This window comes from Homo sapiens, chromosome 1, assembly GCF_000001405.40.
Source record: "Homo sapiens chromosome 1, GRCh38.p14 Primary Assembly".
Lineage (NCBI taxonomy): Eukaryota > Metazoa > Chordata > Mammalia > Primates > Hominidae > Homo > Homo sapiens.
Window position 1 is genome coordinate 56,405,282 of NC_000001.11, and position 13,036 is coordinate 56,418,317.

The 13,036-nt window shown below is 44.5% G+C and overlaps 2 long non-coding RNA genes across 2 annotated transcripts in view; one reads left to right on the forward strand and one right to left on the reverse strand.

Annotated features, from left to right (window-relative positions):
- Positions 1-4,885: 4,885 nt before the first annotated feature.
- Positions 4,886-13,036, reverse strand: part of LOC124904185 (uncharacterized) — a 74,169-nt gene continuing 66,018 nt past the window's right edge. The window contains exon 2 of the long non-coding RNA XR_007066106.1: positions 4,886-7,246. This is a non-coding gene — a long non-coding RNA (uncharacterized LOC124904185). The remainder of the gene's footprint in view (positions 7,247-13,036) is intronic.
- On the forward strand, positions 9,682-10,685 carry LINC01767 (long intergenic non-protein coding RNA 1767). Its single transcript, NR_147163.1, has 4 exons — positions 9,682-9,869; positions 9,967-10,061; positions 10,252-10,328; positions 10,501-10,685. It is a non-coding gene; the product is annotated as a long intergenic non-protein coding RNA 1767 (long non-coding RNA).

Here is a 13,036-nt window from a genome sequence, read left to right on the forward strand (position 1 = left end):
GGGAAAGGCTATATATGTGCTAGAAAGAGCAAGGACTACAAAGCCAGGAGGCCTAGGGTTAGGTTCTTGCAACTGGTTGTGGAATCTCTGACAACTCATTGAATCTTTCTCTGCCTCCTTTGCCAACAATCTATGAAGTTAGGCAGATAGGAATCTGCCACATATTAGCAAGTAGAGGATGAGATAGGCTATGTCTTCCCTTGCCACCAGATCCTTTCTTCATAAAAACTAGAATAATTATCCCTTGAATCGTCTCAGCAACTTTCTGAGATTTAGAGTGGTTTAACAACTTTTCAAGGTCATATGTCTACTGTATAGAACTTGGATGGAACACTATTCTATCTCGTTTCCAGACCTCATCTCCCAAGTTTCATGTTTTCAAAGTAAAATAAGATATATTCATAATCTCTGCCTGCAGTGAACTCAAGTTTCGGAGGAAAAAAGCTACACTTGCATCTAAAAGTGTTTTGTGCCTCTGTATAGTTAGGAGAGTCTTCTTGGAGGAGATGAGATATATGGGCTTTGAAGAATGAATTTGATCCACCCCTTTTTTTCCTGACTACTGGAAAAACCGGATCAAAATCTGTGGCTTCCCAGTAGCAAGTATAATGGACTTGTTAACATCTTTAATATAAGTACTTTTCTCACCTGCCTATAGCTTTTTCCTCCTTTCCTACGTTTTGTTTATCTTCTCTTTGCTACACAATTTTACTTGAAGTGTACTTTATCTTGTTGTTTTGAGTGTATTGAAAGTAAGCTGCATTTGACCGGGCGCAGTGGCTCATGCCTGTAATCCCAGCACTTTGGGAGGCCGAAGTGGGCGGATCACAAGGTCAGGAGATCGAGATCATCCTGGCTAACACGGTGAAACCCCGTCTCTACTAAAAATATTAAAAAAATTAGACGGGCATGGTGGTGGGCGCCTGTGGTCCCAGCTACTCGGGAGGCTGAGGCAGGAGAATGCAGTGAACCCGGGAGGTGGAGCTTGCAGTGAGCGGAGATGGTGCCACTGCACTCCAGCCTGGGCGACAGAGCGAGACTCCATCTCAAAAAAAAACAAAAAAGTAAGCTGCGTTCAACTATTTTGTAAACCAAGTAGAGGAGAGGTAAACAAATTATTCACAGCATGAGAGTAGTTCCCTACTCCACCCATACCTAAGTGTAGACAGGCAAATATAGACATTGCTTAGCCAGTTACTGGTTTCAGTGCTTACTTTTTGTCAGCCCCCTGCCTTCAAAGCCTTCTCATTTCTGCAGTTGGGACCATTTGCCCTTGCCCACTCTACCTATAGCTCCCTAATTACAGATCTTGAGGCCCCCTGATGTGGGCAGTTGGGGTTTGGAGGAACAAGTACATTAACCTGCTAGGCCTGCTATGAGGATGTTCCCACTTTCAGTGAAAGCGTTCATAGTGCTTCTTTCAGGCCACAGCTCAGCCCTATCAGAAGTGCTGGGTCCTCAGCTATCCCTGGACCTAGCCTCTGCTGAGATTTCCTGCCCAATCCCCAAATTCCTCCTGGATTAGCATTTTACTCTTGCCAGACCCCATCCTGGAGCCTTCAGTCCTAGCACCAACCCAAAAGCCTTCAGCTGTGGTAGGATATGAGCACAAAGTAGCGAACAGGAGACATCAGGCACTAACTTGGAAGGAAAGGAGTCAAGGCTGTGCTAAAAGTTGACCTTTAAAATCAGTGGGTCAGAGCAGAGATATCCAGTCACCTGAAGAACACAGAAGGGCTCCTCGACACAAGAGGCTGAATACCCTCCATGAGAATGTCAACATTTCTGAAGAAACATGAGTCATGTTGCACAGGAGTTGGCCCACCATTAAAAAGAGAAGGTCATAAAGTCAAACCAAGGGGCTCTGCCTGTAGAGAAGATTTAGCCAAACAACTTATATTGACAGCCCCATTGGTAAGACCATCCCTACTATGTGATAATTGAGATGTCTTATTCAGATGGCATTAAGCATTTCACATATCCATTTCTCCTTGTTCCCATTTCATGCTTGTCACACAACCTTGCATACAGGTTTTCATTTTCCCAGTAGGTCTGATTTCAAGGAAAGCATGAGTTTTCAGGCCAATGGGAGACTTCCACCTCTGGAACCTTGATTTAGCAAGCCAATAATTTGGTTTCTGAGATCTCCTTCAATCTTATGAGCATAGTCTATCCCTCAGAAGCTATCCCTGAGTCACACTGCCAGATACATCTACTCACAATGGAGATGTCTATGTCTAAAAGCCTGCAGGAGTATGGAGAATTCACCAAGGGACTGAATGTCAAATTGTGGAACTCTTTGCCAGCTGAGTCATTTGGGGACCTTGGGTAGGACATGCAGCTCCCAAGAAGAGCACCCTTTCCTACATTTGAGATTCTATTTGTCCCCATTTCTTCTCCCCAGTTCCTGTGGGCTGCTGCCCACAGGAATGGATGTCTGCTCCCTACTGTCTGCCTCCTGCTGGGATGCCAGTACACCTCTTTCCCGTGATTGACCTTGCTAGCCCTGGTGGATTTCTTAGCACCAGCTCTCTGTCTGGACTGCCCAACAGAATCCCCAGGGAGCAAGCGCACTTTGGCAGGTGAGTCCTGTGTAGTTGGACCACTCTCTAACCAGTGCGTGAGCACAATTACCAGCACCCAGCCCCTCTCCATCCAACCTGTCCTACTGCCTCACCAAACTCAGACTCATACCTTCCCTCCCACCTGGCTCCCTGACCACTTCTACCCAACTCGGCTCAGGCAGGAGTGGTTACCTGGTTACCTTGGGTAACCAACATATTAAGACTTTTCATATCCTAATACAGAGCATTACTCAAACTGGATCAAGAGGCAAGAAAGTGAGATTGAAAGAATATGGACTTACTAAAACCAATATTTTGTTTGTCTATCCAACAAGCAAACATCTTTTTATACCCACTTTTTGTTGAAGGTGCAGGGAAACAGGAATATTCACACACTTGTAGTGGGAAATAAATATTTATAAGTTTCCTGCGGGGGTGGGGCAAGTTGGCAATATAGTATATGTCTTTGAAACCAAAATGCGCTTTTAATCATCAATCTCACTTCTAGGAATTTATCCCAAGGAAGTAAAAATACACACACAGATTAAACTACAAGGATGCTTACTGCAGCATTTTTAATATTAGTAAAAAGCTAGATATAACCTAAATATTTAGCAACGGAAGATCAGTTAAATAAACAGTTCATTCATAAAATGAAATACTATGCAGTCTTTTTAAATGATACAGAAATACGTTTATAGATGCAGAAAGACATTTATGATATATCGTTAAGCAGAAAAGCTGGTTACAAATATATACATGCGGAAAAAAAGTCTGGAAAGACATACCAATGTGATTGTAGCTCTTATATCTGAATGGCAGAATTTATGGATAATTTTTATTTTTTTACTTATCAGTATTTTCTCAATTTTAGATAATATGCCTTACTTGTGTAATAGAAAATAAAATAAAATTTGCTTTTTTAAAGGGTAGGGACATGGTATTCACACAGACTTGGGTTCCAATCCCAGCTAGACCACCAATTAGCAGTGTGACCACAGAGACATTACTTACATCCCCTGAGCTTCAGTTTCTTCATATCCAATATGGGTATAAGGGCACTTTCCTCATGAGGTGGTCTTGAGGTTTACATGTGAAAGCATTAATCAAGTGCTTGACGCAGGGTAGGTACTGAGCTACATTTTTCCCCTTTCTTCCTGGATGTCCAAAAATAACTGAGGTAACCATTTACAATTACAACATGGTCAAACACGCCAAGTCATGTAAAATGTAGATCCGGAAATTATGAGAGACTAGTATTTAGTGCTTCAGCCTAACTCTTTTCTCTCTGATCTCCCCAGCCCCATGCAGTGCGGCGGCAGATGCAGAGATTCCCGTTATTAACCAAGGTGTCTTGAAGGTTCGGAGGCCATCCAGGTGGAATAAAGCAGGCTGTGTTACCCAGCCCCATCAGCAGGTGGGGCCGGTCTCACCTGGTGTCTTCATTCAGCCTGGCACACCTCCCCACCAGGCATCAGACTGTATGTCATAAGGGGCTATTCCGTCAGTTACTGCACATGTTTGAGACTCTCACTCTACCTGCTCCCACCTCAATCCAGTTCCCGTTTGTGCCTCCACCTCCACTTACAGTCTCACTCTTACCACTTAGGATTTTAGCCTCTTCATAGGGGAACTTCGTTGCCTATCAGGAATGTCTGGAATTTGTCCTGCCTTCCCCCAACTACTCATTCATTTCCTCACCAAACTTTATGACTACCTAATGGGTGCCAAGCTTTGTGCTAGGACTCAGAGATCAATCAGAGACAGCAGACCCTGATCTTGGGGGAGCCACACAGCCTGCCCCAAGGCCTCAGGTGGGGAAAACAGACTGGAACACAGACCATAACCAATAGCTATTATAACACAGCACTACAATGCTGTGTTATAGTAACTATTATCATTAGAATCTTTATATAACACTTGTTATATACCAGGAGCTGTTCTAAGCACTTTATATATGTTAAGCTTAATTATTACAACTTATCTATATGAGATAGGTTAAAATTATCTCTATTTGATTGATAAAGGAATTGAGGCACAGAGCAGTTAAGTAACTTGCCCAGGATAGCACAGTTGGTAAATGGCAGAACCAAGATTTGAACTGAGCCTCCTTTACACTCTTAAAAATGACAGGATTCTAAAGAGGTTTTGTTTATGTGGGTCATGTCTAGTAATATTTATCAAGTCAGAAATTAGAGAACTTTTAAAAACATTTATCGATTCCCTTAAAATAACAGTAATAAATCTGTTACATGTTAATCTAAATAATAAATTTTAATGAAAAAAAATCCATAGCAAAATTAGTAAGAAGAATGCCATTGTTTCAGGTTTGCAACATCTTTAATGTCTGACTTATTAACATACAAAGCAGATTCACATATATTTTGCATTCAGCCTATTGTCATGTGTTATTTGATTAAAGGATATGAAGAAACCTGGCCTCACACATCATGAAGTTGAATAAGGGAGAAGTATTTTAATAATCTATTCAGATAACTGTGGACATTCCTCTTTGATAGTACACCAAAACTTGACAAGTGGTGGATTTTTAAAGGGTCACTGCCATGTGGAATCTGAAACCAGCTCACAGTGAAGGATACAAGTTTTCCAAAATCCCAGTTTTTCATTTGAACTCTCAAATTTTATAATTGGCCGTACATACTGTCATTTGTTTTCCTTGAAGTAACAGCTCTGACTTCATCATTTAAATATATATATGTGTGGGTGGATGTGTGTGCGTGTGTCTGTGGGTGTGTGTAGGTGTGTGTGTGGGTGTGTGTCTGCCAACTACCCATGGCTGAATAACTGCAGTGTGTCTGTCAATCGTTCTTTCCAGGAAAATGGTTTTCCATGGAGAAAATGGCTACTTCAGCTCCCAACTCACTCACTCACTCTGGTGCTTTTCCTTGAGACCACCACTGTGCTTTTGTAGGCAACAGAAAAGCTTTACCCATACTCTTATCTCATCACACCAATCATTAAAAAGACAGGCCAGACACTCGAAGGCTGAAGTTTAATAAATTTGATCATTTTTATTGCTTCGTCAAGGACATTAAGTGAAACTGACTTTTTTCTTCCTACCGTGCACATGTGGTGGTGAATAATACAATGATAACTACTGCAGTTTGCTACCACTACCTTGATCCAAACTAAAGCACCAGCTGTTTACCACTGTTGCTTTTACACCATCAGTTTAAACATCAACCAATGAAAAGGGAAAATTACATCTTAGTAGCATTATAAAAATAGTTCTGATCTCATGAACCTCTAAAAGTACCTCAGGTTCCTCCAGGGTCCTCAGGCCACGCTGAGAACCATGGCTCTATACTATATAATCCAGGATAAACCTGGGGCTATGTCAGCTTCCTCACTGATCAAAGTTCAGATTAAAGCCCAACCCTGAGCCCAGAGGCCTTGGGATCTGGACAATCTTTCTTTGGCCAGCCCTTGTCCCTCATCTCTCAGAGCTAGGCCGAGTCTCTTGAACTCCAAGCTCTAGCTTAGATTCTCACTGAAGACCATCTTTCCCTCAAGTCAGACCAACCATAGGCTAGACAAAACCTCAGTTCACCTCACCCTTAAGACACTCATTAGACTTCTAGCCACTCAGGGAAAGAAAAGAGAGGAGAACTCCCATCTGGAGCCCTTACTGCGTGCCAGGCATGACATTCTTTAATTCAACTCTCATCACCTCCACTCTGCTAGCAAAGAAACTGAGGCTCAGGGAAGCAGGGTGCCCACGCAGATCTGTCTGACATGAAAGCTAAGCCGTGGTGCCGCCTTCTGGTCAATTCCCACAGTCTCATTCCTGGCCCTGCCTGGACTTCCTCCCCTTCGTGTCTGCTGGCTGGTAAGGTTCCAGCATGCCTCACAACCAAAATTTCCTGAAATGAGAAAATTCCCAGCACCAGCGGTTTTAATCATCCAGTGTCTGAATTCCTAATAGTCACAAATCACTCAGATGTTGGAAACTATGAGACACACCACTCTCCGGAACAGATCATTGATAAAGTCTGAGCTGGGTTCACTTCTGCCATTGTTGGAGACCAGGCGGCGCAGGCTCTCCTTTGGGGAGTATTTCCACCGAAGCTGATGGTTCGTCATCTCTGTCTGTGTTCCGCACACGGGAGTTGACATCCTCTGGCCCCTGCCTCTTCCTCAGCACCAGGGGCTCCCTGGAAGAGCCAGGGCCCATTCAAAAAAGTCACAAAACAACTCCCCAGGATGTGACCAGGATAAGAATCACATCCTAAGATTCAGCTTCAGGAAAGTTTATCCCAAAATAAACCCAACACTGAAGTAAATAAAGCATTAGGAATATTTTGGGAGAGCAATTTCACAGAACTACAAAAAAGGAAAAAAGATGCTATTGTCAACAGCCTTTGTTCAGACATTCTGTATTTCTGGCACATCTTGTTAAGTGGCGGTTTTGTATCTGACATTTATGCAAGGGGGAAATGACCCATGTTTATGAAAATTATACCATTTCTTCTAAGGGTAAGAGTGTCCTTTAAGCACTGGTTTGAGATAGGCAGAGAGTTTGATGAGGATTCAAGGTTGTGATGATTAAAGCCAGGGTAGGAGGAACATGTAATTTGTGCAAAAGAACCCGGAGAACAACAGCAAAGGGAGAACTCTGTTGAATATATACAAAGGGGACGCTGCTTTGCAGTCTTGTTTCCCTAGGAGGAAGAGGGAACACAAACAGAAAGTTTTTATGATTTCACAGAACAAGAGAAGGCTCAACACTTGGCATAACAAAAGGTAAAATGTTTGGGATAATGGACACCAACTAAGCCTTATCTCCACTTGCACATTCAACCAAAACAAACAGATTCTATTAGTATCACCTTCACTAACGTGATTGCATTCATCCATTCATCCAATATTTAACAAATACTGTGTATTATACCCCGCTAAGCATTGGGAATGCCACAGTGATGAAAACACAGTCTGTGCCCTCGAGAAGCTCCTAGGACAGCAAGAAAAACAGATCTGTGAAGAGGCGATGATAAGAAGGTAATGAGTGCTCTAAATTTTGGTGGGAGGCCGGATGTGGTGGCTCACACCTGTAATCCCAGCACTTTGGAAGGCCAAGGAGGGCAGATCACCTGAGGTCACGAGTTTGAGATCAGACTGGCTAACACAGCCAAACCCCATCTCTACTAAATATATATATATATATATATATATATATATGTATTAGCTGGGTGTGGTGGCATGCACCTGTAGTTCCAGTTACTCAGGAGGCTGAGGCACGAGAATTGCTTGAACCTGGGAGGCAGAGGCTGCAGTGAGCTGAAACTGCACCATGCACTCCAGCCTGGGCAACAGAGGGAGACTCTGTCTCTAAATTAATTAATTAATTTAATTAATAAAATAAAATAAATGTTGATGAGGAAGTAGGAATCCAGGGAGACTTCCTAGTGATAATGACACCTGACCTCAAAATCCCAGAGAGGATGGTGGCTGGGGTTTTCACAGAAGGAGATGGATGCTGATGGTCATTCCAAAGATATCAATCAACAACTTTCTTCAGTCTTTTATCTTCAGTGCATTTATCACTCCATTTAAATTTTCCAGAATTGGTAAAACTTCTATGGGTCTTAATTTAAATATGATAAGCAATAACTTGTTACATTTGACTTAGGAAAACTGCATGATCCAGTGGTGACAAACCACAGGTCTGGGGATAGGCAGACCTGGGGTTGAGTTCTGCCACTACCACTTGCCAGCTGTGGGCACATCACTCACCCTGTCAGGTCCATGCCCACCTCACAGGGATGTTACTAGAAATAACATGAGGCAATTGAAGCATCTGGCACCTAATAACATTCTGTTCTTCCCCTAGGATCCTGTGACCACATCACAAACATCCCCCAGTTCCACGGGTGACTGTTTATCGTAACCCCACAGCCTTCCTTCAACCCAGCTGCTACCATCTCTCACCTGTACTATGTGATAGCCTCTGGACTTTTGTCCCCACTTCCTGCCTCATTCCGCTTTGGTCTGTTTTTCACAAAGCAGCCAAAAATGCTTGAAAATGCGTGGTGCTCATGCCTTTCCTCTGCTTCACACCCTCCCACGATTCTCCCTTGACCTCTGATAAAGTCGAAACTTTAGAACAGCTTTCATGGCCTTAATTGTTCAGCCCCTGCTCCCCTTTCAGCCTGGTCTGCCTCCCGCTACCCCATTCCACTCCATGCTCATGTTTGTCCACAGACTTCTGCCTGGAACACCATCCCTGCTGCACACCTCTTCTGCATGCTAATGCCTCTCCCTTCTCAGTGCTTCCTGGAGGAAGCCCTATGCTTTGATGCTTCTTCCAGGAAGCAACCCATGATTTCTGACCACCACAACCACGCCAAGCAACACTGGATTCAGTGCTCCCTCTCTGTCCTTCCTACCTTCTGTTTTTTCCCCATTTATCACAGTCTGTTACAATCTACTTCTCCGTATCCATCACTAGATAGTCATTTCTTAGGAATAGCTTTTGAAGCTTTTATCCCATATCTGACCTATTTTGAATGAATGAATAATCTCACAATGAATGAATGGCAGGGATGAGATTAAAACTCAGGTCAATCTGATCCCCAAACGTATGGGTTCCCATCATCCCAGTTGAAACCTAACTAAAAACTGAAGTAGTGCCATCCCCCCTCCACTGCCCCATACCCCCAATGGGTCTGCTCCCACCAGCCCCCCACCCTGCCCCCCACCACACACACACACACACACACACACACATCCCTAGCTTAGGGTCCCTCTATTTGGCATGGACTCATTTTCTGCCAGGAATGCATATCTTCCTTGCAGGCTGAGGCACTATATGGACTGTACTAAAAACACTCAACCCACTGATTCTGGTGAAATTATTTTGGAGTGACAGGGATAGGCAGGGGCTTTCCTGGGCTCAGGACTCTAGCTGGGGAGTGGCAAAAGCCACAGTGCAACTCAACTCAGGAGAAAATAAATGCCTGGAAATTTGAGCCAGCTGTTTTTTTCTTACTCACCAAAGTGCATTGAGTCAACCCTTAATCTTTTGTCAATATTTGCGGACTGAAAACACGACAAACCACCCCCTGTGCCGCTCAGAGTGTAGACACTGACTGATGGGACCAGGTACAAAATCCCCTGGGACAAAACAGAACTTTCATAACTGGCTGTAGAGTTATTGTTTTTGCCTTTTGGAAGCTTCCACCTTGTGACGGGAAGAGCACTGTCAGCCCAACACAGAAACTCTGCCGCCTGGAGTCACGTGGATCCAGATGCGAAGGGACTCCAACGTCATGCTAAGGAGTTTGGGTAATAACAATGATAAAATGCACTTATTGAGGTAGTGTTTAATGTGTTTAATGTATCTTCTTTACACGTGTTTAATGTATCTTCTTTAATCCTGAAGGCTAAGAATTTGTACAGCCATATTACAGATTTGGAAAATGATGTGAAGAGAAGCTAAGGGATTTGCCACTGCCACTCAGCTGCCAAGGATCAGAGGCAGGATTCTAGTCTGTCCCCTTTGTTCCATCACCCCTGCCTCCCCCTGGGCCCAGCCACCATCACCTCTCCTGGGGGGAGCTCCTAATTGTTCTCCCTTCTTCCTCTTGTGCGCTCCTCCAAACTATCTCCAGCCAAAGTGATCTTTAACAATGTAAATCCAGTTATATCACTCTTTCCATTGTAACAGACATTACTTCTACTTCTCAACGTCCATCCTCCAACCATTGTCCAGTGATTCAGGCAGAATTCCCTCCTGCTCAGGAGGTGAGTCGACCCAGTAGTGCCACTGGCTCTGCAACAGGAATTGGTTAGCAGGGCTTTGCATCTCCTTGGCCACAGACGTTGGGCAGGTGTGGAAAAAGGCCATCAGCTAGATGCTCAAGATTGAATTCTGAGATTGTGGGGGTGATGCTCTTGCTCTCATCCCTGTCTGCAGGTAGCCATCCTGTGACCCTGGAAGAAACCAGCCCAAGGAAGGTGCTAACCTACAGAAGAAGGACATGGCCAGGGTAATCACATAGACCCGGAGTTGAAGCCCTGACTGCACCACACCCGAAGCCTCCCCACCTTTCAACCTCTCGGTGATGGTGAACCAATAAACTCTTTTTATTGTTCAAGCCAGTGTGAGTTAGGTTCGCTATAATTTGCTGCAGAAAGTCTCCTGAGTGATTCAGATGCCTGTTGGTGCTCCTGGAATTGCATCCAGATGCCCTACCTTAGTATTAAAGTCTCACTCAACTCTAAGATCAATGAGTGGGGAGGGTGAGGGCTAGATTTTCATTGACCCTGGTGTTGCCAGCCCCTGCTGGACATCAATCTGGCACAAAGCAGACAATGTTAATTTTTTTTTCCTTGAAGGAGTAAACCCAGGTCTCTCTCCAGTGTCTTATCAGCCTCCCAAAGGCGGGGAATCCCACTGGGGTCCCTGATCACCTTCCAGAGCCACCTCTCTGCAATCAGCTGCATTTTGCTAGAATCGGCCTTGCTGTCCACCTTCCCCATCAGCGTCCTCATGGAGACCACCATGAGGGAGGGGCCAGCGGGTCTGAACTTGAGGCTATGTCTAGCAGTGTGTCTGAGCTCCAGGTACCCAGGAGGGGGCCATGGCCGAGTGATGCCCAGGGCACAGGATGGTGCAAGCAAGATGTAAACAAGATGCAAACAAGATGGTGCAAGGAGATGCAAACAAGATGTTTGCAAGGAGATGTTTGCAACAAGATGTTTGCAAAGAGATGTTTGCAACAAGATGTTTGCAAGGAGATGCAAACGAGATGGTGCAAGGAGAGCCTCCAAAACAGCCTGGAATTCACACAAGTAAATGGGAGGGGCCTCAGAGCCACTGTGATTTGGGCAGCAATAAGTATGACCAGCAGGGTGACCAGTGGACCATGAGAAACATCCACATGTGGGTCCAAAGAACATTGCATTCCTTTGTTTATCTAACCCACATCCTCCTTCGTGTCTTAGGGCCTTTGCACTGCCCTTTCCTTGGACTGATTACCCAGTTACTCTACCTCATGACCAACCTCTGTCTTAATTCTCTGCAGAGTGCTTATCAATGGCTGATTGCATTTGTTTGCTTTTGTTTCTCTGTCCATGACAGCAAGGACCTTGATTGTCTTATTTATCACTACTTCTCTCATATCAAAAATCCCTCCATAGTCCTGGCTCAGCAGCTCTTGCCTATAATCCCAGCACTTTGGGAGGCTGGGAAAGGAGGATTGCTTGAGGCTAGGAGTTTGAGACCAGCAACATAGCAAGACCCCATTAAAATAAAATAAAATAAAAATTAGCCAGGTGAGGTGATGTGTGTCTGTAGTCCCAGCTACTGAGTGGGGCTGGGGTGGGAAAACCACTAGAGCCTGGGAGGTTGAGGCTGCAGTAAGCCCTGATCACAACGCTGCATTCCAGCCTGGGTGACAAAGCGAGACCCTATCCCCCCCACCAACAAAAAACAAACAAAAATAAAAACTCCCCCTATAAACACACATTAAATAAATGAACAGCCCTGCCCCCTCCCACTCAGAGGCCCACCCCCTTCAATTGCGAACTTGGTCCCATCAGTCAGGTACCATTCAGATGTGATCTCCACACAGGGGCCTCCACCTCCCTCATCCCGAGTAATCCCTCCTCCCCCAACTCACTTATTTCCTTCATGCCCTTTATGGCAATATAAAATTATCTCATGTATTTGTGTTTACTTGTTCGTTATCTGCTTTCTCCTGTGAATGTAAACTATATCTTTCCTTGTCCCAGGGGAGATCACTTCCAGACTTTAAGTAGGTGCTCAATAACCTTTTGTGGCCGGAATAAACAGCAAGGGAGAAAATGAATCTCCAGGGCTCTGGAAACAGTGGGCATAAGAAGATAAAGAAAGAATCCTAGTTGATTTCAGAGTAATTCTGTGAGGTAAACAGGGTGGTTTTTTCTACCATGGCTGTTGAGAGATGAGGAAGGCAAAGTTTACAATGTTGTGACCTCATCAAAATAGCTTGTCTGGTGAAGTGCACATTTGAACTTGAGTCTGATTCCTTTTCCAGTTCCTTTTCTTCTGAATCATGCAGCTTTCCTGTTCAAACTCATCTGCATAGATACTAAAAGTATCAGCAATCTCCTCTCTGCAAATCGCTCCAAATTCTCGCAAGGTGGAGCCCGGCTGTTTGAGAAGCCATCACTGAATCTCCTGATGTGTTGACCCTCACAGTGCTGCAGTTATATCGCTTTCATGAGGCACCAGCAACCAATAGCAGCTTGGCATTGTAAAAGTTTCTCCGTGCCTTCATGCTACAGCCAGGCCTCTGGTTTCTCTCTTTCTCTCAATTATTACCTTAACCATGCCCTGGAGACCTAAGGAGCCGGTTTATTTTGACTGGGAGATTGTTAAACTGCAGGAGGCAAACCAGAGACAGTGCCAGGCTGTGATTTCCATTGCTCCACATGGCCAGGGGGTGCTGAGAATAGCCAAGGCCGCT